The 26,819-nt window shown below is 40.1% G+C and overlaps 1 protein-coding gene and 1 long non-coding RNA gene across 18 annotated transcripts in view, besides 10 other annotated features; both read right to left on the reverse strand.

Moving 5' to 3' along the window:
* ANKRD44-IT1 (ANKRD44 intronic transcript 1) overlaps positions 1–19,101 on the reverse strand; it is a 51,662-nt gene extending 32,561 nt beyond the window's left edge. Inside the window, exons 1-5 of the long non-coding RNA NR_046837.1 lie at positions 18,815–19,101; positions 17,545–17,995; positions 16,064–16,117; positions 13,108–13,154; positions 12,887–12,981 (exon numbers count right to left, since the gene is read on the reverse strand). This is a non-coding gene — a long non-coding RNA (ANKRD44 intronic transcript 1). The remainder of the gene's footprint in view (positions 1–12,886; positions 12,982–13,107; positions 13,155–16,063; positions 16,118–17,544; positions 17,996–18,814) is intronic.
* ANKRD44 (ankyrin repeat domain 44) overlaps positions 1–26,819 on the reverse strand; it is a 343,767-nt gene that overhangs the window by 316,405 nt on the left and 543 nt on the right. The gene's annotated exons all lie outside the window — the stretch shown is intronic.
* Positions 14,002–14,051: an enhancer, noted in NCBI's record as "active region_16924". NCBI's record gives its function as "activates an Ori minimal core promoter by ATAC-STARR-seq in GM12878 lymphoblastoid cells {active_cell/tissue: GM12878}" and the evidence as "EXISTENCE:reporter gene assay evidence [ECO:0000049][PMID:35858748]".
* Positions 14,362–14,421: an enhancer, noted in NCBI's record as "active region_16925". NCBI's record gives its function as "activates an Ori minimal core promoter by ATAC-STARR-seq in GM12878 lymphoblastoid cells {active_cell/tissue: GM12878}" and the evidence as "EXISTENCE:reporter gene assay evidence [ECO:0000049][PMID:35858748]".
* Positions 15,312–15,361: a silencer, noted in NCBI's record as "silent region_12209". NCBI's record gives its function as "represses an Ori minimal core promoter by ATAC-STARR-seq in GM12878 lymphoblastoid cells {active_cell/tissue: GM12878}" and the evidence as "EXISTENCE:reporter gene assay evidence [ECO:0000049][PMID:35858748]".
* Positions 18,509–18,798: an enhancer, noted in NCBI's record as "active region_16926". NCBI's record gives its function as "activates an Ori minimal core promoter by ATAC-STARR-seq in GM12878 lymphoblastoid cells {active_cell/tissue: GM12878}" and the evidence as "EXISTENCE:reporter gene assay evidence [ECO:0000049][PMID:35858748]".
* Positions 21,377–21,506: an enhancer, noted in NCBI's record as "active region_16927". NCBI's record gives its function as "activates an Ori minimal core promoter by ATAC-STARR-seq in GM12878 lymphoblastoid cells {active_cell/tissue: GM12878}" and the evidence as "EXISTENCE:reporter gene assay evidence [ECO:0000049][PMID:35858748]".
* Positions 23,972–24,021: an enhancer, noted in NCBI's record as "active region_16928". NCBI's record gives its function as "activates an Ori minimal core promoter by ATAC-STARR-seq in GM12878 lymphoblastoid cells {active_cell/tissue: GM12878}" and the evidence as "EXISTENCE:reporter gene assay evidence [ECO:0000049][PMID:35858748]".
* Positions 24,062–24,141: an enhancer, noted in NCBI's record as "active region_16929". NCBI's record gives its function as "activates an Ori minimal core promoter by ATAC-STARR-seq in GM12878 lymphoblastoid cells {active_cell/tissue: GM12878}" and the evidence as "EXISTENCE:reporter gene assay evidence [ECO:0000049][PMID:35858748]".
* Positions 24,722–24,771: an enhancer, noted in NCBI's record as "active region_16930". NCBI's record gives its function as "activates an Ori minimal core promoter by ATAC-STARR-seq in GM12878 lymphoblastoid cells {active_cell/tissue: GM12878}" and the evidence as "EXISTENCE:reporter gene assay evidence [ECO:0000049][PMID:35858748]".
* Positions 25,702–25,761: an enhancer, noted in NCBI's record as "active region_16931". NCBI's record gives its function as "activates an Ori minimal core promoter by ATAC-STARR-seq in GM12878 lymphoblastoid cells {active_cell/tissue: GM12878}" and the evidence as "EXISTENCE:reporter gene assay evidence [ECO:0000049][PMID:35858748]".
* Positions 26,213–26,714: an enhancer, noted in NCBI's record as "H3K4me1 hESC enhancer chr2:198174355-198174856 (GRCh37/hg19 assembly coordinates)". NCBI's record gives its function as "activates a minimal SCP1, AML or CMV promoter by ChIP-STARR-seq in primed H9 embryonic stem cells {active_cell/tissue: H9 hESC(primed)}" and the evidence as "EXISTENCE:reporter gene assay evidence [ECO:0000049][PMID:30033119]".

Consider the following 26,819-nt stretch of genomic DNA (forward strand, 5'->3'; position numbering starts at 1 on the left):
CTCTACTGAAATCTCAGTATGAATCTCCATATAAAGCAATTTCCATATAAAGCAATTCCATAAGTTTCTATATAAAGCAATTCAAGTAAAAAATAGTGAAACAAATGCCAGCATGTCTCTTTAATTATGGTAAATATTTAATGTTTCCTTATAAAATAATTACAGCCTTAATAGAAACAAAACTGTTGAAAGTGTACCTGGATGACAATAATGGTTAAATATACACTTCAATAATTTAAAGTGATGAGTTGTTTTTTTTTCACAAAAGTTTAAGGTGGTAATGAAATCATTGGAATCCCTTTTACCAAAGTGAATTTTAAAAATTACATTTTCCCTCTTGCAATCATGTTTGTAGCATAAAGAAGCAATAAATGGGGGCAGGGAGTAAAGCTTGGGAACTATTCTATGTTAGGCTTGAGTAGTCTAGCGCAATGTCTGATAAAGGAGGGGTTTGAATTTTGGTATGGAAGGCTTTCTAACACTGCATTATTTTAAAGAATAGCTCAGTGATATCAGTATTCAGTTACTTAACTAGGCACGAGGTACCAGATACAGAGAGATTGTGTAGAAGAATGAACACTGTTAACTACTGTCTCCTCTCCCCGTTTGCTGGATCTATCTATGAATAGGGTGCTGACCTCTAATTTACTGAAATAAAAGGAACATTGTTCCTGGAAATATTTATGAGGCATATTGCATCTTCTCCACGTTATGGATAAGATGGAAAGACATCTATACCTATTGACATTAATAGACAGAACTCACTTTAGTGAAATCCACTTGCAAAGAACATTGAAGAACTGCACAAGGAGATGAAGAAATGAGGGTCACTCCCGCCTCTGGCAGGCTAACAGGATTTCTCTGGGTATTCGCTGCATTCCCTATCATCCCTCAGGACATTCATGTTCTATGACCAGGTCCAAGTTGCCTCACCATGAAAATCAAACAATGGAGGCCTTTTCCCAATTCTTAGAAGGAAAAAAACTACTTAAATGTGACATATACTCTTTTTCCCATTAATTTCTCCAAACCCTAGCACATACCACCACATGGTCAAACAAGAACTCACGGCAACAGAGAGTCAAACACACACACACACACACACACACACACACACACACACATAATTTGTGTGTTTAAACAAAATTCTAGAAATATGACTCATTAAAATTTTTACATTATTAGAGCCAGGCGTGGTGGCTCATGCCTATAATCCCAAAACTCTGGAAGGCCTAGGTGGGTGGATCACTTGAGGCCAGGAGTTCGAGACCAGCCTGGCCAACATGGTGAAACCCCGTCTCTACTAAAAATACAAAAATTAGCCAGGTGTGGTGGTGTGCACCTGTAATCCTAGCTACTGGGGAGGCTGAGGCACAAGAATTGCCTTAACCCGGGAGGCAGAGGTTACAGTGGGCCGAGATTACACCACTGTACCCCAGCCTGGGCAACAGAGCAAGACTCCATCTCAAAAAAAAAAAAATTAAATTTTTTTTTACATTATTCAATGTTAAGATACGAAGAGCTTCACTACTTACAATAGAAATATATCTTCTGCTTGTTAAGATAATAGAAAGAGTGATAGCCCTCTCTCAGATGGCAGAAACAGTCATAGCCCAATTTTGTGGCACTCTAGAAGGCTCCCTAAAAGATGTTCCCTTTGAGCAAGTTTAAGTATCACCCACTAGTCTCTACTTGAATCCCTCAGCCCACCCACATCACATTCTGCAGGAAGTGATGAAAAGTCAGGGAGTTTAGGTTATGTAAGGCCTGTGGACCCATTGAGCCAAACTGCAAAATGTGCATCAGTGAGCTCCACAACCTCCCCAGCCCCAACCCACTGCAGGAAAGTGTCTGGGGATGGGGCAGCCAAGAGTTAGTCACTGGAACATGTCTGATGCTATAAAATGCTACCTGTGATACCCAGATCCCAGGTTCTTTTCTTCTGGGTTCTGATCAAAACACAGTAGCCTGCCTGCGATGGAGCAACTAGAGGAAACAGGTTCCAGGTGTGGGAAGCCATGGGTTAAAAGGCAACTTGCCAAACTATGGGAAATATTCTAGTTGACGCTGAAGCCTTAATGCTTGACTCTAATGGAGGAGTCACTCCATTTTCTCATAAAAATGCTAAGTAGATTTCTGCTTTCTCAAGAAGCTAAATCCTTTTGTGGCTTTATGACTTACTCCTACAACCAAGAGCTTCTTAAGCTATTAACAGCCAAGTGTCACAGCCTTAAAGATTTGCACCGTTTGCTCATCTCAGGCATGCCCCCAGTCACAAATTCCTGCAAAATAAACCTTGGTTGGACAGATTGCAGAAAAACAAAAAGGAAAGAAAACATAAAACCTCATTATGGTTGACAAAGAACCTGTACAAAGCTTAAAGAGATCAATAAAATGATATAGGGTCAGATTCTGAAAAAAAAGAACAGATTTCACTATATGGTCACCTCTGGGAACCCTCTGACAAAATCAGAATCAGGCCTTCCAGTTTGATTGCTAAGTGCCCAGTGGCAGTAATTCAACCATTCCATCTCTCACACAAAATGCCTGAGCCCCAGAGCTAACTCTGGGTGAGTCTGACAATGGTACCACCCAATTTATAAAGTAAAGAGACAAGCTGGCCAATTTGGCACAAGGAAGAAAGCCTTTCCATTTGACCATTGCAGCTGGTGGGCCAGTGTAGTCATTTGCTGCTCTATAAGGGTCCCCCATGACACTATTAAGGCATATTACCCTTTCCAAACATCTTTTGCTTCAAAAGATTCCAGTCCCACTCTGCAATAAAACTGAGCATATTTCTATTTAAATTAACTGTCTCAATTTGAAAGCAATTTGGTTTTATTTAATTCAAAGATTTCCCTAAATGCTATCAAAATAGCAACCAAAATTGGCTTTCAAATTCTTTAAAGAGTATCTAAGGACAGAAAGAATTTTTTACCTACTTCTTCTACTTTTTTTTTTCTTTTTTTTTTAAGAGACAGGGCTTTGCCCTGTCACCCAGGCTGAAGTGCAGTAGCAAGATCATATCTCACTGCAGCCTCAATCTCCTGGGCCCAATTGATCCTCCTGTCTCAGCCTCCCCAGTAGCTAGGACTACAAGGACGCCACAATGTCTGGCTAATTTTTTTTTTAATTTTTTGTAGAGATGGGGGTCTCGCTATGTTGTCCAGGCTGGTCCTGAACTCATGACCTCAAGTGATCCTCTCACCTGGGCCTCCCAAATACCTTTTTAAATGCTTCTCTTTACTTCTCCCAGGAATATTAACTTAATTTTTAATGTAATTTTTTTTTGCTTATGAAACTGTACGAATTGGTTTCTATTCAAACTGTCGAAAAATATGTACCTTTGGTAAGCATGAAAAAAGGCCACAGAATGAAAAATCTCTAAGATCCCTTACAGTTTCAAAATTCCTTTATCCTGCTAGATCCCTTTTTAAAAGAATTTATCCAACGGTATAACATTCTGGAAAAGATAAAACTACGGAGATAGAAAAAGGATCAGTGGTTGCCAGGGGTTAGGGGGTAAGCAGGCATGAGCAGGCAGAGCATGCAGGATTTTCAGGGCAGTGAAACTACTCCGTATGGCCCTATAATGGTGGATACATGTCATTATACATTTGTCAAAACCCACAGAACGTACAACACCAAGAGTGAACCCTGTCAACTATGGACTTTGGGTGATGATGTGTCAATGCAGGTTCATCGATGGTAACAAATGTACCACTCTAGTGGGGATGGTGACAGTGGGAGAGGCTGGTTGTGGGGACAGGGGTATATGGAACTCTCTGTACTTTCTGCTCAATTTTGCTGTGAACATAAAATTGCCCTAAAAATTAAAGTCTATTTTTTAAAAAAGTATACCTTCTAGATGTTCTAAATAATATCATGTATCCTCCAACTGATTAAAAAAAATGGGTAAAAGTATGAAGGAAGAGATTAATTCTCCTGCAGCCAGAAAAGAAAAGTGTAAGAAAAAGCTGCTGCACTGTAGGAGCTGCCTTGTGACGTCACAGAATACTTGGCAGAGAGGACGTGTGTTTCTGTTTGTTCTAGAGATGAGCAAGAGAGGAACAAGCAACACTAGTCATCAGACTAGTATTCTCTCCAAAGAACCGTTTTTAATGCTGTTGAACACTACACAGAAAAGCCAAACAAATCCATTCAACACACAGACAACCACACATCATTGTGAAGTTTATATCTAGATCTTTTACCCTGTTTTTTGTAAAGTAACTGCTGAGATATAATACCTATTTTCTATTTAGGAGATCTGGGGACTTCTTAGCTAATTCAGGAATTAGCAAACCAAAGTAGACACGCGCTGGGTACGGTAGCTCACGCCTGTAATCCTAGCACTTTGGGAGGCCGAGGCGGGCATATCACTTGAGGTCAGGAGTTCAAGACCAGCCTGGCCAACATGGTGAAACCCTGTCCCTCCTAAAAATACAAAAATTAGCCCGGTGTGGTGGCACACACCTGTAGTCCCAGCCACTTGGGAGGCTGAGGCCAGAGAACCACTTGAACCCGGGAGGCAGAGGTTGCAGTGGGCCGAGATCACATCATTGCACTCCAGCCTGGGTGACAGAGTGAGACTCAGTCTCAAAAAAAAAAAAAAAAAGAAAAAGAAAGAAAAGAAAAAAAGATATCTGATGTACTCCCTCAAGACCAAAAATTTAGGGTTTGCCCAAAAATCAGTTATAAAAGGAGGATCTGGGTCTTTAGATATGAGAAATTAGCTTTCAAATACCATGATATTCTAAGCAAATGTTCAAATCCAATGAGAAACACTGTTACTTACATCCAGCTATTCAACCAGTTGCACAGAGTGGAATATAAGGAAAAGCACATAGAAACTTCATTCACTACATCTGAGAGGAAACTTCATGGGCGGTATATAAAGTTTCACAGATGCTGGTGAGGATGCAGAGAAAAGGAAACTCTTATATGCTGTTGTTGGGAATGTATACAACCTCCATACAACCACTATGGAGAACAGCATGGCAATCTCTCAAAGAAAAAAACACATATAAATAACTTCTATATGACCTAGCAATCCCACTGTTGGGCATCAGTCCAAAGGAAAAGAAACCACTATGTAAAAGGGATAGCTGCACATGCAAGTTTATCACAGCACTATTCACAAGAGCAAAGTTATGGAATCTAAGTGTCCATCAACAGATGAATGGATAAAGAAAATGTGATATATATATATACACATACACACGTGATATATATATATACACATATACACACACATATACACATACACACACACACACCATGGAATACTATTCAGCCGTAAAAAACAATGAAATCATGTCACTTGCAGCAACATGGATAAAACTGGAGGTCATAATGTTAAGTAAAATAAGCCAGGCACAGAAAGACAAATACCATATGTTCTCATTCACATATGGGAGCTAAAAAACTTGAAATCATGGACCCAGAGGATAGAATAACAGATACCAGAGGCTGAGAAGGATAAGTGGGTGGGAGGAGGATATGAAGAGAGGTTGGTTAATGGGTACTAACATACAGTTTAGGTAGAAGAAATAAATTGTAAGTCTGGTAGCAGACTAGGGTAATTATACCTAGCAACAATATTTTGTATATTTCAAAGTAACTAGAAGAGAGGCTCTAAGTGATACCAACGTATAGAAATGATAAATACTCAAAGTGATGAATACCCCCAAATACACTGGTTTGGTCATTACACATCCTATGTATGTCTCACTCATATAGACTCCATAAATATGTAAAATATTATGTATCAGTAAAGAAAAAATACCAAAAAACTCACAAACATTACTACATAAATATTAGTATAGCTAAAATTTAAAAGACTGCTAATTCCAAGTGTTGACAAGGATGTGGAGAAACTAACCCATATGTATTGTTGGGGGAGTGTGAAATGGTACGACCACTTTGAAAAACAGTTTGTCAGTTTCTTATAAACATGCACTTATCAGGTATTATACAAGAGAAATTTCTTTATGTTTAAAGAAAAGACTTGCACATAATTATTCATAATAGATAAATGTGGGTACAACCCAAATTTCCATCAACAGATGAATGGATGAAAAATTATGGTATAGCCAGACATTGGAACACTATTTAGCAATAAGAAAGATTTTATCTCCTTATACACAAAACATGAACGAATCTCAAAATCCTTATGCTGAGCAAAAGAAGCCAGAAACTAAAGAGGACAAACTGTATGATTCCATTTGTGTGAAATTCATCTGTAGTAACAGACAGCAGATCAGTATTTGCCTAGGATGTAAAGTAGGGAAGACAAAGAAGCAGAATAGAACTCTTTGGGGGTGATAGAATCATTCCATATCTTGATTATGGGGGTGATTACACAGGTAACTTTTGTCAAAACACATCTACATGTCATTAAAGTGGATGCATGCCATTTCATGTAAACTATCCACAATATGGTCAATTTTTCTCTTTTTTTTTTTTTTGAGACGGAGTCTCTATCACCCAGGCTGAGTGCAGTGGCGTGATCTCGGCTCACTGCAACCTCCTGGGTTCAAGCAATTCTCCTAACCTCAGCCTCCCAAGTAGCTGAGATTACAGGTGCCCGCCACCACGCCTGGCTAATATTTGTATTTTAGGAGAGACGGGGTTTCACTATGTTGGCCAGGCTGGTCTCGAACTCCTGACTTCAAGTGATCTGCCCGCCTCAGCCTCCCAATAGTCTATTTTTCAAAAAGAAAAAATAAAATGAATAGGTGGGGCACTGTGGCTCATGCCTATAATCCCAGGTTGTACTAATTTACATTCCCACCAACAGTGTAAAAGTGTTTCCTTTTCACCACATCCACACCAACATCTATTGTGTTGCAACTTTTTAATTACGGCTATTCTTGCAGGAGTAAGGTGGTATCTCATTGTGGTTTTAATTTGCATTTCCCTGATGGTTAGTGATGTTGAGCATTTTTTCATATGTTTGTGGGCTGTTTGTATATCTTCTTTTGAGAAATGTCTATTCACTTCTTGATGGGATTATTTTTTTTTATTGCTGATTCACTTGAGTTTCCTGGTGTCAAAGAAAAGACCAGTTGAAAACCAGGAGATTCGAAGTCAGAACTTTTAACTCCCTCTGTATCATCCCAGCAATAAGCCATGTTCTTCACAAATACACAAACTCATTTTAAAAAGAAAGAGCCTCATCAACAGATCAAGAAATTCATTCCAAATAAGCATGCTTTACTTTGCATGTATTATTACTAATTTATCAAATTTTATATTTGTTTTGATACATTGTTAATAATCATTGGAAACTCAATCCAGAAATTTATTTAACTCTTAGCATCTCAGGATCACATTTCTATTACAAAGCATTGTAAGATAATCAGTTTTTTTGTTTGTTTGTTTTTTGTTTTTTGTTTTTGTTTTTGTTTTTGAGATGGAGTCTCAGTCCAGCCCAGGCTGGAGTGCAGTGGTGAGATCTCAGCTCACTGCAACCTCTGCAGTTTTTTTTTAATGTAGTACATTTGTGCCAGGCACAGCAGCTCGCACCTGTAATCCCAACACTTTGGGAGGCCAAGGAGGGAGGATCCCTTGAGGCCAGGAGTTTCAGACTAGCGTGGGCAACATAGGGAGACCCTGTCTGTACAAAAAAAACAAAGATTTGCCAGGCATGCTGGTGTGTACCTGTAACCCTAGCTACTTAGGAGGCTGATGTGACAGGATCACTTGAGCCCAGGAGTTCCAGGCTGCTGTAAGCTATAATCACACCACTGCACTCTAGGCTGGGTAACAGAGTGAGACCCTGTCCCTAAAAAATAAATAAGATGTGGCCAGGCGCGGTGGCTCATGCCTGTAATCCGAGCACTTTGGGAGGCCAAGGCAGGTGGATCACCTGAGGTCAGCAGTTCAAGACCAGCCTGGCCAACATGGTGAAATCCCGTCTCTGTTAAAAACACAAAAATTAGCTGGGCATGGTGGTGGGCCCCTGTAATTCCAGCTACTTGGGAGGCTGAGGCAGGAGGATCACTTGAACCCAGGAGGCGGAGGCTGCAGTGAGCTGGGATCATGCCATTGCACTCCAGCCTGGGCAACAGAGCAAGACTCCATCTCAAAAAAATAAATAATGTATAATATTTGGATAAAAGTGCGGTAATTTACAGGCATGAGCCACCACACCCAGCCAAATTCTGCATGAGAAAGTGGAATAGAAGTATAAGCTCAAGGAGAAAAAGGAACAATGTAAAATTTCCAACTATCGAATAATGCTTGCTCATGTATTTTTTTTAAATTATACTTTAAGTTCTAGGGTACATGTGCACAATGTGCAGGTTTGATACATATGTATACATGTGCCATGTTGGCTTGCTGCACCCATTAACTCGTCATTTACATTAGGTATTTCTCCAAATGCTATCCCTCCCCCATCCCACCACCCCACGACAGGCCCCAGTGTGTGATGTTCCCTGCTCTGTGTCCAAGTGATCTCATTGTTCAATTCCCACCTATGAGTGAGAACATGCAGTGTTTGCTCTTCTGTCCCTGTGATAGTTTGCTGAGGATGATGGTTTCCACCTCCATCCATGTCCCTGCAAAGGACATGAACTCATCCCTTTTTTATGGCTGCATAGTATTCTACTGTGTATATGTGCCACATTTTCTTAATCCAGTCTATCAGTGATGGACATTTGAATTGGTTCCAAGTCTTTGCTATTGTGAATAGTGCCACAATAAACATATGTGTGCATGTGTCTTTATAGTAGAATGATTCATAATCCTTTGGATATATACCCAGTAATGGGATTGCTGGGTCAAATAGTATTTCTAGTTCTAGATTCTTGAGAGATCGCCACACTGTCTTCCACAATGGTTGAACTAACTTACACTCCCACCAACAGTGTAAAAGCATTCCTATTTATCCACATCCTCTCCAGCACCTGCGGTTTCCTGACTTTTTAATGATCGCCATTCTAACTGGCATGAGATGGTGTCTCATTGTGGTTTTGATTTGCATTTATCTGATGACCAGTGATGATGTTGCTCATGTATTTTTTAAGTGAAGGTGGGACACTCAAATCACAATAGTGTTTAAATTCCATTCAACACATTTTAAACAGTGATATAATGTTTCCATTTTAAAAGTCAACATTTGTATTATGCCAGGAATTACATCCTTTGTATCTTTCCAACTTTGTGATGAAAAACTTTAGATGTCAACCCCCCAAAAAATGTGCAAGGGAATACATAGCGTATAAAAATCTTTTGGTGGTAGGGGTTGGGGATAAAAAATGTTGCCATGAGCTACTTGTAAGCATCAGTAGATGGCCCAGCATGGCCATCCTCTCAGTCCACCCAGGATCGGTGATGGAAATCACACTCTGCCTCCTTTGGGCCCTACTTAGCAAGATGCTTTAAACCAAGAGTGCACATTAACAGTGACTTCCTGTGCAAGTCTTTAAAGAGCTGTCCCAGTTAAAGCCTGTCCAAAATCTCCACAGTACAAAAAAATGGTGAGTAAAACATTTCTTCCCATACTGTTTCCTTGACTGGAGAAGTTGTCCCAGATCTGTTCATGTCATGACACACTAAGCCATCAGCCACACATTCTTGACTATACATATTTATCAAGACACCAAGAAGAAAAAATCCACCAAACAAATATTAGCAATATTTTATATCACCAATCTTTTTACTAGGGTTATTTACATAACCAAAAATTAATCACTTCCTGTCCTTCCTCTGTTCATGGTAAAGATCCCAAGAGGAGAAAAAGAAGGTAGATAAAGTAGATAAAAGAAGGGAAGGATGGTGAAGGAAAAAACACAGCAGCAGAGACTGGCACTACATCATTCACTTATTCAATAGTCACTGCTAATCTACTACTACTGAGTTAACCAGAGTCTTAGATACTAAAAAGTTGGGGTACAAACATTTTCCCCCAGAAGTGAAGAGAAATTCAGTGGCTTAGCTCCAACCTTCCCAAGACACACACTAATCAAGGGGCTAAAAATGGACTGAAACCAGAAGTGAGAGCCTCAATGAAGAAACTTTCCCCACTCCATGTAAGCAGGAAAATGAAAGAGTTCATTAAACATATCTGCATTTACACACATCTAAAGATTAGGCAGTGCTGTGACAAATGTTCCCTTCAGATGGCCAATCTTAAATACATCTCACAAAATTCTAAAAAAAGAAAACAAAGCATATTAGAGAGGAATTTTGGGGATGAGGGCATGGGAAAGCCTTAGTATTTCAGGATTATTACCAGTCACAAGTGTTTTCAAATAAGAATGAAGTTCCACGGTCTTCTGTGTATCACAAAGATCTTTACCCACAGGGGAACGATGAGGCAATATCCTTATGGCCTTGCACACAATGGGCTCCTTCTTCTAGACCAGCTTAGAAGTGGGTGATACATTCTAATCTGGATAATGCAGATGATACGATACTAGAACCACATGATAATTACCCAGGCGGCAGCCTTCAGCATTCTATCACAGGGTGTTTATACAGCATTTTAGGCTGTATCCTAAATATAACTGCAGAAATGACACGTGATTTTATAAGTGCTGTTTAAGAACAGGATAGGCAAATGAAATGCACCTCAGACTGAGCCAGAAAAAATAAGAGCTCTACCTCCACTAACAATCAACAAGCAAAGTAACAGCCACTGGCCTCGGTTTCTCCCTATGAAAAATGGGGATTCTAATGCTCATCTCCTGTCTTCACCAGACAATTTATAATATTGTTCAGAAAATGCTGGAGGTCCCAGACAGCTTAGGTACTCGGTCACTGTCCATGTTTTCTAAAGTTGTACACTACATTAATTTCTTTACAAATCTTTTAAACAAGTTTCTTTAGTCTTAATTCTCTCTGAAGGATAGAGAAAAGGAGGTCAGTCAACACGTGTCATCTTTCATATAGAAGTTAGTTTCACTTCTGAGAAAAGTGAACCTTTATATGAAAGATGACATGTTGACTGACCTCCTTTCTGGCCTCGCTAACCAGTTCAAGGTGCCCATCTTCATCCAAGATCAAACAGAACTCCAGGCCTAGGAGGAGTTTCATAATAACTCAAATGACTCTGGAAGTACAAGAGCAAGAGTCAGATGCTCTTTATAATTCTAATGAAATGAACACTGGAAACCACACACACACATATTTTCATTCTCTCTCTGTCTCTCTGCACCACCCCTCCGCCCCAACACACACACAAACTTATAACCCACACAGAAATTACCAGACTTAGCTTCAGAGAGAACCTTCTAGAATAATGAGCAACATTAGATTAGTAGACAGCTTTAAGATTTATTTTTAATTGTATAATTTCCATTTGTAATACTTGACCTTTAAACTGTGTTTGCTTAAAATTAGCCTCCTACAAAATTAAGGCTATTTCCATCCCCATATTAATCTAGAGTCTCTACTTGGGGAATAGAAAATATTAAGATTTCTGTTTTGCTCTCATATATAAGAAGTAAAGATCTCTCTTCCCCCATCTTGGCTCTTTGAGTGCATCAAAAGTACATATTAACTGTTTCTGAGTCCACATCTGGAGTTTAAAAATCCTATAGAAAAGGCAAGTGATTTAAAATATAAACATATGGCTTCCTTCTCTACAGTGATTCCTAGGCAGAGGGAAAAAAAAGTTGAGTACAAACAAAACTATTGTTTTAAGGAGGATTGTTTCTAATTGAAAGCATACCAAAAAAGCTAACTAAGCTTCTACTTTCTCCTGGAGAAAATAATAAAAGCAAGAATTCCCACCTCAATCTAATTAAATCTAGATCAAAGTGCAACTTAGGTAACACTAGGACTGTAAGAGTGTAGCACTCGATTTCTGAAGAGGATGGCCCCAAGTCTGCCCTTGAGTTAGAGCAAGAGGTTGGCAAATTTTTTCCTGTAAAAGGCCAGATAATAAATATTTTCAGCTTTGCTGACCCTATAGTCTTTGCCACAACTACTCAACTCTGCTGTTGTAGCGCCCATAGACAAGACGTAAACAAATAATACAACTTTATTTATGGACAAAGAAATTAGAATTTTGTTTAATTTTTATGTGTTGCAAAGTATTATCCTTTTGATCCTTTTCAATCACTTAATATAAAAACTATCCTTGGCTCACGGGCCATTTAAAGCAGGCAGCAGGCCATATGTGTCCTGTGGATAGTAGTCTGCAACCCCTGGGTTAAAACTATAGAAGACTGGAGCAGCTGCAAGAATAAACTCTAAAACAATGTCCTCATTTCTTAAAGAAAACTGAGGCCCAAGGAGGTATAATGACTGGCCAGGATCTCACAGCCAATTCATGGCAGGAATGGAGTTAAGAAAAATACTATTCAGCCTCTGGAAGAGCTGGTTGAAAAGGTAAAAGCAAGGCTGGGCACGGTGGTTTGCTCTTTCCTATAATCCCAGCACTTTGGGAGGCTGAGGTGGGCAGATCCCTTGAGTTCAGGAGTTCAAGACCAGACTGGGCAACATGGTGAAACCCTGTCCCTACAAAAAGTGAGCCAGGTGGCATGGAGGTACATGCCTGTAGTCCCAGCTACTCAGGAGGCTGAAGCGGGAGGATCACCTGAGCCCAGGAGGTCGAGCTATGATGGCACCACTGCACTCCAGCCTAGGTGGCAGATTGAGACCCTGTCTCAAAAAAATAAAAAAGAAAAGAAGAAGAAATAAAAAGAAAAGGTAAAGCAGTAATGAAGAAATGTCCTGCTTGAGTTCAACTCACCAGGACAGGCAGTGGGGTGCTTAAAACCAGAGTTGTTGCAGGAACCTAGTCACTAGTCATAGAAGCTCCTAATACCTGACTTCCCACTGTGTAAAATAATTTGTTACCTGCCTGTCACCTACACTCATTCTGAAGGTCCTATATCAGCCACTAGGACCTTTTGAGGGGCCAAATTACCTGTCAGCCTGATTCTTTTCAGCCTTCTGAGTGACACAGCTCTGGTTGTTTCTTTTGCAGTGTAAGTAACAACCTCCACTTTTGTTAGTCCAATCCTAGAACTCCCAAGATATAAGTGTCAATGTGGCTGAACAGCAAGGATCAATGTCAATTATTTCAAAGAACAAAGGACAGCAGGTGACCAATTAAGCTTAAAGTTCAACAGCATCTCCAACACTCACCTAAGAAACTAACAGTCAATCTCCTTCCCGCTCCTAATTCCTTCCCTCTAAAAGAATAAATAAATAAGTTTCTTAATGGTTTTCTCTTATTTTTCCTTATTCCACCTTTTCTTATACCAATTCTCATTTTCATTTCCTGTGACCCTTTTTACTTTGCCCTACATCTCAACCAAGAATCACCTCAAATTGAAATGCTTTGTTAGAATTAAGATACATACACATATCCAATGATGTTTAAATTATCTGCTCTTTAAGTAGCATTCTATAGTTTTAAAAGGGAAAAAACCCCAAATTAAAGTAACTTTTTACAATGTATCTTTCATCTAACTTTTTAAGTCACATTTTATCAGAGAAGTTTGTTTTCTACCGTTATAAATTAATTCGAGACTTGAAATTTTACACCAATGTTTTTTAGACATTCTGCTGTGATGATTTTTTATGAAGATTACTCTATCAACTTTTGTTTTTACACACTTCCTCAAAAAGACACAGTTTTATATTTCTGTGAAGAGGAAGTGGCATTCTTATAAGTAATTTTCAAAGTTCTTTTTGACAACTTAAATAAAAAATGACTGCAAACTCCTGAGAATCTTTTCAACACAAATTGATCCTCCTAGATCTATCTAAACATAAGATTCTTTGGTCAAATAAACTAAGTCAATTGATTTGATAAAACCAAAATGAAAGAAAAATGTAATTCCTAAAGCTGTAGGAACCAAACACTACAATTCATACCGAAGTATGGAAATTCCATACAAAAATAAAACAAACAAACTCTTTCTACCAATGTTGTTTAAGTGAGAGAGAGAAAGAAGACTAGTTAAAAGGTCATAAATATAAAACAAAAACAAACTCAAATCATATTTTCATAGAGCTGAAATTGACCTGAGAAAACTGGTCTCTTTAATGTGACAAATGAGGAACCAGCCCAAGATTCAGAGACTATTTATTATAGAGTGCCAACCAAGGACCACCTGCTATACAAAGACTTTTCCCACTTGATTATCACAACTTCCCCGTAAAGCAAGTATTATTTTACCCATCTTACAGTCAAGGAAAGTTGTGTCACAGGAAGATGGACACAGCTTGTTAGGAGTAGCGCTGTGCACATAGCCCAGGTCTCCAGACATCAACTTTAGTATTCTAAATATACAACTCACACGGAGCATTTTTGGAAATTGTTCGGTTAGATGCCACAATATTTTAAAATATTATACATAAAATACAGTACCCTGAAACCTTGATAGAAGACTCCTTGCTACAAAGCAGAGCTACTTAAAAAGATTGTTTCTTCTTGGCTGCTACGAAAAGGAGCATTAGCAACTAAACATTGCACTCATCTCATGAGCCCCAAGACCTAATTATACTAAGGCTCCAAAGTACAAAACCCTTAGTCACATGGCTTCTAAATTACTCATGACAGTATCATTTACTCAAGTCACAGCTGGCCACTTCTTATGCTTATGGTCTATTCTTAAATCTGGACTCCGTTAAGAAGGATATAGAAAGATTTTTACACTTGTAGAAATAAAGGAAGATATTTCAGCATGTCTGAAGCAATGGTGAAACCACTCAAGGCAACAACAAACACCTACTTCCTGTTCAGGTAAGAAGAGAGGCATGGCAGCCAGGCCCATTAGAATTGAGACCTTGTAACTGTTTGCTGCCTTTAAGAACTACACGGTATAATTAAAAGCATAGTTTAAAAGTCAATGTAAGAAAGCGATTTTTGGCAACTCTAGTATCTAAATTCCCTTCCAAATATCTTACACTGGACAAGCCAAATCCAGGTCTTCCTAAAAGCACACAAGATGGGATTCTAAGACCAATGCTCAAGTATTTGACTCAAGTTATGGAGCCACTTAAACTAAGTCAATAGATGTGTGGACCACACAACTAGCTCAGAAGCATATTTCCTTGGGCAGCAAAACCAGAAAAATCATGTGCTTTTATGGACAAACAGAAAGGATTCTAACAACTTTACTGAAGGCATTCTATCAAGCGAGAGTGGAGGCCTTAAGAGGGGCACAAAGGTGGCAGGAAGAAGTAAAAAGAAAAATAGTTTCCAAAAAGAATGTATCACTTAAATAGGTGCCCTGAGAAAATGCTAAAGTAGGCCAAGCATGGTGGCTCATGCCTGTAATCTCAGCACTTTGGAAAGCCAAGCAGATCACTTGATTCCAGGAGTTCGAGACCAGCCTGGGCAACATGGTGAAACTCATCTCTACTAAAAATACAAAAACTAGCCAGGTGTAGTGGCACGCACCTGTAGTCCCAGGTACTCAGGAGGCTGAGGTGGGAGACTCAACTGAGCCCCGGAAGTCAAGGCTGCAGTGAGCTGTGATCGCACCATTACACTCTAGCATGGGTGACAGAGTGAGATCCTGTTTCAAAAAAAAAAAAGAAAGAGAGAGAAAATGCTAGAGTTTTATAGTTTCTAGTTTTGTAAAAGGACTCTCTTTTTAAACATAACCACAATATCCTATTCACACTTTAAATCATCAAATATCCAGTCAGTATTCAAATTTCCCCAATTATCTCAAAGAAGTGTGCTTTTTTAAGTTTGTTTAAATCAGAATCCAAATCTATTCACTGCAACTAGTCTGAATGTATCTTAATTCTCTTTTAATTTATGGATTTATATTTCCTCTCCATCTTTTTTTTTTCCTCTTACAATTGATTTTTTAAATAAATGAGGTCTGTTTTTTCTGTAGGCATCCCATAGTCTGGATTTTGTAATTTCTTATTTAACAAATATGTATAAGATTAAAAACAAGTCATCTCTAGATCCGGCAATCCCACTCCTGGGTATCTACCCAGAGGAAAAGAAGTCATAAGAAAAAGGTACTTGCACATGCATGTTTACAGCAGCACAATTCACAATTGCAAAAATATGGAACCAGCTCAAATGCCCATCAATCAATGAGTGGATAAAGAAAGTGTGGTAGATACATACCATGGAATACTACTCAGCCATAAAAAGGAATGAAATAATGGCATTTGCAGCAACCTGGATGGAATTGGAGACGATTATTCTAACTGAAATAACTCAGAAATGGAAAAACAAACATCATATGTTCTCACTCATTAGTAGGAGCTAAGCTATGAAGACACGAAGGCATAAGAATGATATAATGAGCTTTGGGGAATCAGGGAAATGGTGAGAAAGGAGTGAGGGATAAAAGACTACACATTGGGTACAGTTCTTTAGTGGTGACAGGTGCACCAAAATCTCAGAAATCACCACTAAAGAACTTATTCATGTAATCAAACACCACCCATTCCCCAAAAACCTATGGAAATAATTTTTTAAGAAGGAAAAAAAAGTCATCTTTAAACATACTACATTATTCCATCAATGGCCTACATCACCAAACCATCTAGATCCTTTCAATGAAGTCCTTGCTACTCCAAAATACATGTTTGTTCACAAAATGTTGCCATGGTACCTCATGCAACATTCTATCCAAGCCAGGGGTATCATGGACACAGAAGGGCCCATAAGGCAACACCTTACTTTAATGCTTCAATACTTTTTGGAACAAAGTAAATACAAATTAATTTGTAAAAAGTCATGTGCAACAAATGGAAACAATGAGTTTTGCTTAGGCACAAATTCATCAATTCAAGTTTTCAGGCAGAGGGCATGTAGTACCTATCAAAGAACTCAACTGAGAAAAATGTGTTAATATGCAAACACCTCTCCTATCCAGTTTGCAAATTGGATATTTCCTTACCTCTTCTTCCTACCTAACATGAACCCTATGACTCAGTAAATTTAGTCACCAGGTTACCTGAAAGGGACACAACACGTCACTCACCTGGGTTCTACCCACATCTGCTGCCTGAATCATTCCCTTCCTCAAGTACCGCTTAGACTCCCTCCAGCTCCCTTCTTAATGACTTTGCCCATCTCTGGACTCCTGAAGTCCCTAATCAATACCCCTAAGCATAGTCTAAACCTGCACTATATGTGGATTGATAACTGTTTCATATGCCACATGAACTCAATAAACTTTAAAGAGGGCCTTTCATGTGCAAGGCATTCAGTATCATCTAACTAGACTGTGAGCTCCATGGGGAAAAAGGCCTCTTGTGATACTGCACCTATTTCAAGAATCCTAATGTGTGATGGCTAAGAATGTGCACCTTGGAGTTGAGCTTGCCCAGATGTGACTCCCAGAGTCATGCGACCCTGAAAAAAATTACTCGACCTCTCAGTTTTCATTTTCCTTTTTTTTTTTTTTTTTTTTTTGAGACAGAGTTTCACTCTTGTCGCCCAGGCTGGAGTGCAATGGCACAATCTCGGCTCACTGCAACCTCGTCCTCCCAGGTTCAAGCAATTCTCCTGCCTCAGCCTCCCAAGTAGCTGGGATTACAAGTGCTTGCCACCACACCTGACTAATTTTTGTATTTTTAGTAGAAATGGGGTTTCACCATCTCTAGCCATCTCTGGCCATCTCTCTGGCCAGGCTGGTCTCGAACTCCTGACCTCAGGTGAGCCATCTTCCTCGGCCTTCCAAAGTGCTGGGATTACAGGCATGAGCCACCGCACCCGGCTTCATTTTCCTCATCTTTAAAATGAAATGATGATAGCCATCCTCTCATAAAAATATTAGGATTAAATCACGTAAAGCATGATTCTTGTCTTGTCTCCTTGTTCCCAATTCTTTCTGTCTGGTTTCTATTTTATTGTGCCTGTTCTTACCTGTCCTTCCCTTTTGTGGAGAAGGGGAGAGCAGAGAGCCCCAGCAGAGCTATGCTGTATCATTGCTATGTAGATGGAGCTCATTAAACACCCCTCGATTGCTTGAATACATGGGAGATCCACTCTTAGAACATTTAGGGACAATATTTCCTGTCCCCTCATGTCACCTTGATACTTCCCCTGAAAAGAAATGGAACTGAGAATTACCTACGACTGAGAATTACCTACAGTGCTAACCATCCTCACAACCAAAAGCACAGTTTAAAAAGAGGGAAAATATAACCAGAAAATAGGACAATATGTGATCTTTTATCTTTTCATAGGGCAGAAAACTTTCTCTTAATTTTGTTTGAATGGAAATTTGACATCCCAGTGTAAAATGAAAGCTGTTTATAGAAGTGTTTCTCTTTTCTTTGTTTGAGTACTTCATGAGTAAAAAACATTTGAACATGTACATATACAGATACATATACATATTTATATTCAATCACTTAACAAATATTTATTGAGCATTTACTATGCACCTTACCCTGTTTTAAGTGCTAAAGACACAGCAGTGAATGAACCAAACTAACAAAATAATCTTTGTCCTGTTATCTATATCTTAGCCACATGTAAGTTTTGGTTTTTAAAATGGGGGGAGTCAAATATATGGTATGAGGGATTTACACTGTGGAGGAAAATAAAGAAAGGCAGACAGGAAATGTGGAGTGGGCATTTTAAATAGTGTGGTCAGAAAGGGACTCACTGAGAAGGTAACATCTGAGGAAAGACCCGAAAGAGGTAAAGGTGAGCCATGCAGATATCTAGGGAGGAGCTGCACAGGGAGCAGGAACAGCAAGGGTCCCGAGGCAGGAGCGCAGCTGGTGTGTTCACTAAATAGGAGGAGGCCAGTGGGGCTGGAGCCAAGGAGCCAGGAAGAGGTGGACAGCAGACAAGGCTGGACAGTTGAGTGGATGAGCTGAGTGCAGAGGTCACTCTAATGACCTTAGCTTTCACCTGGGTGAAACTGGAAGTTTTTGAGCAGGAGTGACAAGTTCTGAGTTCCATCACTCTGAGAGCTACGTTGAGAGTAGAGTGCAGGGGCCAAGGTCAGACGGAAGGAGACCAGTCAGAGGCTGCTGTTATAACCCAAGTGGTGATTTGGCCAGGTGGCAGCCAGTGAAAAATACAGCCAAAAAGATGACACAGTACTAGCAAATAAGATGTACTAAAACTACATAAAAATTAAAAGTTTAAAAGAATGATTTAAAGAAATATGAATTCCAATATTCTCTTTCCCAAACTCCAACTCAATAAAGTATTGTGTTCATCCTTGGGGTGTAGGCCACACCTACTTTTGGAGGCCATTGTTTCACAATAATTGGTTGGTTGATTTGTCCCGGCTGACCTGAATGTCTGCCTGGCTTTCTGTCTTTAGACTTCTCTTATGCTCACTTTCCTTTTTCCTGATCTTGCCAGTCTTAGACACCAAAACAAGTCTCCTCCACAGAGACTAACCATACAGAGGCTGGTGATTACATGTAGGAATTTTCTTCCTTTCTTGAGAAAGTCTGTGGTCACCATGTCAACTGCACCCAACTCTGGGCCAACCCTTCAGAAATAAACTTGTTAGATGCACATGTTATTTGGGTTCAATAAAATAGGATTTTGCCTGGGAGGACCCAAGGTATTTGCTAAAGCAACACCTCTGAAGAAGGCTAAGGTGGGCCCCAGCTCACAAGAGACAAGCATGGCCTTTGTAAGGATTGCTCCCTTTATCCTGTAAGAAGTTCAAGAGGATTCTCAAAGAACCACACTGAGAACAGCCCCAGGGGTTCTGTGTCCCCACAGCCAGGCTCCTGGAGATGCCAGAAGACAAACTTCTTGGAGAAAGGACTCCTCACCCTTAGACAAAACTCAGGATGTGTTTACCAAACCTGGGAAACTTTAAAGCTGCCACAAACACACTTGGGAGAAAATCAGAAGTTCATAAAAGGCAGATACTTTTTGAACTGAGATTCCACAAGATGAGAAAAGACTGACATTGAAATATGTGAGGAGCTATCTTAGAATGTTAGAGCTTGGAAGAATTTAGAGAATTTTCTACCTGTTCCCATTTTGACAGACAAAGAAACGAAGGCCAGGACTTACCCCAAACCATACAACAGTTAGAAGAACCATGAGTAGAATCCACGTCTTCTGATTCCCAATCTAGTGTTATTTTTAAAACAAACTAAAGCAAAACAAAATTTTTTAAATAAAAAAAGCAAAACTTTTAGAGACAGGTTAGAATTGTAATTAATTTCCATGTCTAGGCTCAAACAGATGTTTCCACAAGTCTCCCTAATTTTACTAAAAGCTCTGAAAGCTTTCTTAGGGGAAAATGGTCTTCTGGTATAAAAGATATCCTAGAAAGCTATGCTTGGATGCTTAAGACTCCCCAGGATGGGAGCAAGGGGACTCTAAGCAAACAAAAACCAAGAAATGCAAACAATTATCGACTTAGTAATCCCTGAAACAGCCCAAAGTGGACTATATATTTATTTGCTTAGCTCACTTTATAGAATATAAATTTTAAGTTTTCAAAAGAGGAGGCAAGTGAAAAGATCCTTAAAAATTATGAATATCATAATTACAAGCTGGATTCATGAATCATTAATTTCAACCTCTTAGGCTACCAACATATTTACAAACATAAACACTGATAAGGGCAAATACCTGCATTCCCGACCTCTGAAAGCAGCCAAAGCCAAATAATATATTGGTTAAAAGGTTAAAAAGGAGTAATCTATAAAGAGGGCAATCTTAGGCCAGGTGTGGTGGCTTACCCCTGTAATCCCAGCACTTTGGGAGGCTGAGGCAGGCAGATCACATGAGGCCAGGAGTTTGAGACCAGCCTGGCCGACATGGTGAAACCTCATCTCTACTAAAAATACAAAAATTAGCTGGGCGTAGTGGTGCAAGCCTGTAATCCCAGCTACCCGGGAGTCTGAGGCTCAAGAATCACTTGAACCCCAGGAGGGGGTCGGCGGGGGTTGCAATGAGCCAAGATTGCACCACTATACTCCAGCCTGGGAAACAGAGCGAGACTCTGTCCCAAAAAAATAAAAATACAGAATAAATAAAATGGGTAATCTTAGATTATCTATGAATTGAAGTAGGGTGGAGAATAGGAATTAGTCCTAAGTCATTGACATGGGTTAAAATCCTTCTCTGGAACTTGAAGCTGTTTGACTTTGTTACCTGGAAAGCCTTATTAGAGCTCATCTGCAAATACACCCTTCATAGGCACATTTGTAAGAAATGCTATAACACAAACCATGTGAAGAGCATCGGTCTCCATTACAGGCACCAAGTCACAGAAGGGAGAGGGCAGAGCTGAGGCACCATAAAGGCATCCAGTCCAACCTCTTCATTTTACAAAGAGAAACCTGAAGCCTACAGAGGTTAACATGTCTTGCCAAGGGTTGGCTAATGTACAACATATGTCACTTCTCCCTTCCCGTGTACCCATAGCAAACACTGGTAATCAATCACACTTTCTCGGATCCTTGACTGCAAGAGTCAGAATGTTTCTATCACATTACACCTGCAAGTCCTGGACCGATCAGAACTCATGTGTGACATGGAAGCTGTTTCCCAACTCTGCACAAGGTCATAAAACAATCTTTGTAATACCTGCACCACTGTAGACCTGACTCAAAAGAGACAGAGTAGTCTGCTAGTCAAACTAGTTTACTGTCACTGTCAAGCCTGTGGTGAGCAAACATGGAGTCTATGTGAATATATGATGACCACATATCCAGGTTTACCCAGGACAGTCCTGGCTCACGTCTATTTGTGGCTTCATATTGAGTAGTATCACCTATGATTCTCAAACGGATAAAAATGATATAGTCATCCTAGTTCTGTGTAGTTCCTAATCATTCACAAACATTTATAAATGTTGTTTCATACATGATGTGTCAGGAAAAAAAACAAAAACAACAACAAAAAACACTTAACCAATCACCAGGAGTTTTCTCATACAAAGGGGCTTTCAAATAATACTAAACCCAACCAGTTTTCAAGAGGGACTCAGGGACCACTGTCCAAGCCAATCTTTTTTATATATTGAGCTTCAATATGAAATTTCTTCGGGGGAAAAAAGGAGTGTCATAGCTTAAACAAATTTGGAAATCACAAAATTATCAGATCTCTGTAGCTCTGCCTGTTTTTAAATTATTTCGTGCTATACTTTAGCCTATAAAAATTCACATTATCTTGTAGAAATACAAATCTTTTTAAAGAATCTTTCATTTCTGTTTCTGGTACAAACAATTTGTGCCTTTTTGAGTTCGTATTTGCTCTCTGTTTACAGCAAAAGAGGAAGTAAAAAGTTGAAATCTTAAAAAAGAAAGAAAGAAAGAAAAGAAAAAGAAAAAAGTTAGTTCCATTAATCCAGAGCTAGAGCTTATGTGCTGGCGTTGGCTAAAGAGCCAATCATATATGTAAGAGAAGAATAAGTTTATTTGGAAAAGTCATTGGTGTAGAGAACACAGATATCAGCTATGTGCACAAGTGAAAGGTAATGATATTATCACACGAAAAGTTTAAAAATTTTAACTGGCTACCCAGACAGAAGACTAGAAGGAAACATATCAAAATGTCAAGAATAGTTATCTCTTGAGTATACAGGCTTCAGATGGTTTTAAAATTTTTTGGTTTGCTCATCTAGCTTTCTGCTTTTCCTATAATGACCGCAGTTCGTTTTATATATATATATATATATATATATGAAAAAAATCACTGAACTACCAACACATCATTCACCGGGGTGAGGAAATGGAGAGGCTAATGGGAAAAGCCAGGTATAAGCCAGGCAGGGGCAGAGGCCTCAGAGCAGCTCCTTACTATGTACAGAAATGGGTCTGGCCCAAGAGGCAGAAGGAGTTCAGGGAACGCTGTTCATCCAATGGCTTCTCTGTAAACAAGATCAGACACCCATTAATCCCATGGCTGCACTGCCCTTTCAACTATGAAAAGTATAGCCTTGTGGTCAGAGCCCCACCTGTGCAATCAGACTGCCAGGGTAGGACAGTGTGCTAGATCACTTACTGGGCGTATGACCCTAAACCGGTCAATTAGCCTCTCTATTCCTGTTTTCTCATCCATAAAATAGAAATCACACCACCACCTACCTCCTAGTGTGGCTATGAGGATTAAGACATGATTCACTGCAAAGGCCCAGTATACAATAAGAGCACAATAAATGTGTGACATTATTAGGTCTCTGCCATGAAACACCAGCCTCAAGTGCACTCTCAAAACCATGTGATTGGGTCCTGAAACAACCAGAAAAGGTTCTAAATAAAGCCTTTCTTTTCCCTTCTTCTATGCTGAAGACAGGACTACAGCATACTGTTTGCTTTAACACCAGTGCTCTAGGGAGCCATGGAAGAACAAGGGCAGCCCAGTAAAATATGTAACACGTCCCAAGGCCCCACACTATGGGCTAGAAATCCTGCTCCCAAAGTTACACAGGATTTCTAGTCTCTTGCCACTGCCACCGCTGCCAGCCACTGCCTTTGGCAAGAAGGTAGGTGACTCAAGTGTGAACTAGGACTTGGCAAGGGAACACCAAACCAGAAGGCCTCCAGGCAGGAAGCTCCAAAAAGGCCACCTGCTGAAACAGTTTGTCTGCAGGCAGCCTCCGAGATGAAAGTAGTGTTCTGCCATCATTAACAAATGCAGGTAAGAATAGTGGACACTTTAAACATGCAACAGAACTTACCATCCTAGCTTCATAACTCTGAAAATAAATTTCGGGTAGAGATCCAGGCTGAAGATACGACCACACACTTAAAATGACTACAGTGCCTTTAACTATATGACATAAAGAACACCCTAAAACAGTCAATATCAAATCAATTTTCAAAAAGGTTTCATGGCTATCTTTGAGTCAAATGCCTTAGATCTGTATTTAACAAAATTTTCTTTCCCAAACTTAAAATTATCTCACTTTACCAAAAAATATAAAACTCCTAATGTCCACATACAAGGAACTAATTACATTATTATATTAATGACATAGTTGAGGATGTTCTATGTTACACAGGGTAACCAGTTCCTCCCAGTTTGCCTGGAATTTTCCCGGTTTTAGCCCCATATGCTGGGACACCAGTCAATCTGCACAAACCAGGATGGTTAGTGCCCCCTAAGGCTGCAATAAAAATTATGTGTGCCCTGTGAAGAGGAAAACAGAAGGGACACTGTTACAAAAGTTACAAATGCAGAAGTGCTAAATGCCAAGTTTGTTTGTTTGTAGTGATAGCTCCCAGTTCCTTTTTTACAGTGAAAAAAAAAAAAAAAAGACTAAAAATTACACTGGTCTCTCCCTTTTTCTTTTTACTCTCCTGAAAAAAAAAGAGTTAGGAAAAAACATTTTCCTTCTCTTACAAGATTGAGAGGTCACTACAGGACTGACTGCTGAAGTAGTGTCTGCTTCACCTAGCAAGCTCCTGCACCCAGCTTTAGCTGGAGAGAAAATGTCATCATCTGTCACCCCTGACTTTTGCCACATTTAAAGACAAATCCAGACAATTTGTGTTTCAGGTTATCAACAGTAAAAAATCCAAGAGGCCTAGCAAAAATCAAGATTCACTTCACAAATAGGGCATTCAACAGATGAGGTGCCAGGCACAGTGGCTCATGCCTGTAATCCCAGCACTTTGGGAGGCTGAGGCAGGTGGACTGTTTGAGCCCAAGAGTTTGAGACCAGCCTGGGCAACATGGCGAAACTCTGTGTCTACAAAAAATACAAAAATTAGCCAGGTGTGGTGGCACACGCGCCCATAGTCCCAGCTACTGGGGAGGCTGAAGTGGGAGGATGTTTGAGCCTGGCAGGCCAAGGCTGTAGTGAGCCATGATCATACTATCGAGTCAGAGTGAGACCCTGACACACACACACACACACACAAAAAAAAAAAAGGAGGGAGAAATTAAGAAGTGGTTGTTTTACTAGAAGCTGAATGGAGAGCAAGGTACTCCTGTACAAACTCTAAGGCAGGGATTCCAAGCAGGCGGGCGGCTCCCTGCCCACAATGATGGAGCAAAACTCTTCTAGTAGTGGTCTAAGCAAATGGTTTTAAAAGTTAATCTGTGAGGTTAAGAACTGACTTCTAAGAATTGAGTCTCAAACAGAAAAGGTAAGACTATATAAGGCAAGAAAGACCACACACTTACTTCCTGGACCTAAAGCTACACAGAAACCATCGTTGTTCACCACCCCACCCCACCCAGGCCACTTCCCCACCCCATCTCCTTCTGACTTTGTCCCAAGATAGACTGGACATTTTCAGAAGTTCTTGAATCTTAAAACGCCTTAGGTTCTTTTTACGTATCTGGAGATGGAACCAAATAAACGTTGTGTGACTCTTCCTTTCTCTCCATACTCATACTAGTTTATTGGGGGAAGGAAGGAAATATACTTGGAAACATCTTAAAAGGCAACATCTTTGAAATTCCTGCTCTGATAAGCCCTGAAGAATAACTTCCTCTCTTTGTAAGACCAAGTAATACACTTCTCACTAGGGTTGATCTTGATCTAGGAAGAGATGTTTTCTTGTAACCCTTACAACACATCCAATGAGATGATGGAGCTATCCTATACCAACTGTAGCAGAAAGTACAAGCACCTGGAAGGCAGAAGACAAGAGCTAGTCCCAGTCCTGCAGGCCTATAGCTGGCATTCTTTGAGGAAGACTTGCTTCACTTCTCCAGATCTGTTTTGTCATTTAGAAAATGAAGGGTTTGGGCTAGATCATCCTTAGAGTCCTTACAACTCTAAACTTCTATGTGATGTTCTTTCTTATATGTGATAACAATACCTATTAGAACCATTCTTTGTACTTTGAAGATCTAGGGATTAACAGACAAGTACAGCAACGTGTACTAGCAAAGATGACAGGCCCAAGACACGCTAAAACTGTAGGATTTAAAATACGCAAATGTCTAACAGTTGGCAAAGTATGTGACCAAAAGGTGAAGGAAATCCTGATATCAACTTACACTTTTAAATGCTCTGGAACCAATGAGAACAAATACATTCATCACAAGTACCAGCTGCTCTTCTTACTAAATTTAACAATAACATGAATTTTAACTCAGTGATTTCCCCATCACCAACCCCGCCAAACACCTGTAAATATTTAGGAAAAACAAGCTAAAAAAATTGAATCTAAAAGGCAGGAGAACAAATCATTGCAAATCATTGTGGTGACGGACTGCACTTCAGTTGCAAGATGTTCTGGCTGGATACTAACTGGAGAACGCAAGGCAGCAGATGCAACCCATGGACAAGTTTGAGGTATTTAATACCAAGGGCTGGCAAGTCTGACCCTGTAGTCAAAGTCAAGATTGCCTCTCTGCCTACCAGGACCCCAAAACAAAGTTCCTTTCACTACCCACGAATAAACGGGGGTGGGGGTAGCAAGCCGTTTCCTTTTTTCGTGGAAAGAGCTGCAAAGAGTTTTGTCATGCAACTTGGTTTGGTGCCTGTTAGTGTCAATGTAAGAGCAGCAGAGTCCGCGAAGGTGGCTGTTACCATTCCACAGACCTGCGGCGAGGACTGTCAATCCGATTCAGCAAATAACCCCACCTCTCCAAGCCAGGACTCCAGAGCTGCCCTGTGTGGTGTCTCAGCAAGGAAAGCCAACAAAGCTGGTAGACACAGGCAGACCGTAGCCCACCGCCTGTGAGTGGAGGCTCCGAGCCGACTTCACCTCCTCCTCAGAGGGACCGGCCCGATCCGAAAGGGCGGTCTCCAGGGGTCCCCATCCCGCACCACGCACACAGCCTGGCGCAACTAAAGAGGAAGTCGGATGTCACATCCAACGGATAAATAAAGACAGCCCGGCCACACAAGAGCCGCATTCTGGGCAGGACTCCTGCTAGGTTTGGGGAGGGGTCCCAGTCTGCGATCCTTTCTCCCTCTTCGTGCAGCGTCCTCCTCCCCGGGGCCCGGGCCGGCGGCGCCCACGCA

Source organism: Homo sapiens, chromosome 2 (assembly GCF_000001405.40).
Source record: "Homo sapiens chromosome 2, GRCh38.p14 Primary Assembly".
NCBI lineage: Eukaryota > Metazoa > Chordata > Mammalia > Primates > Hominidae > Homo > Homo sapiens.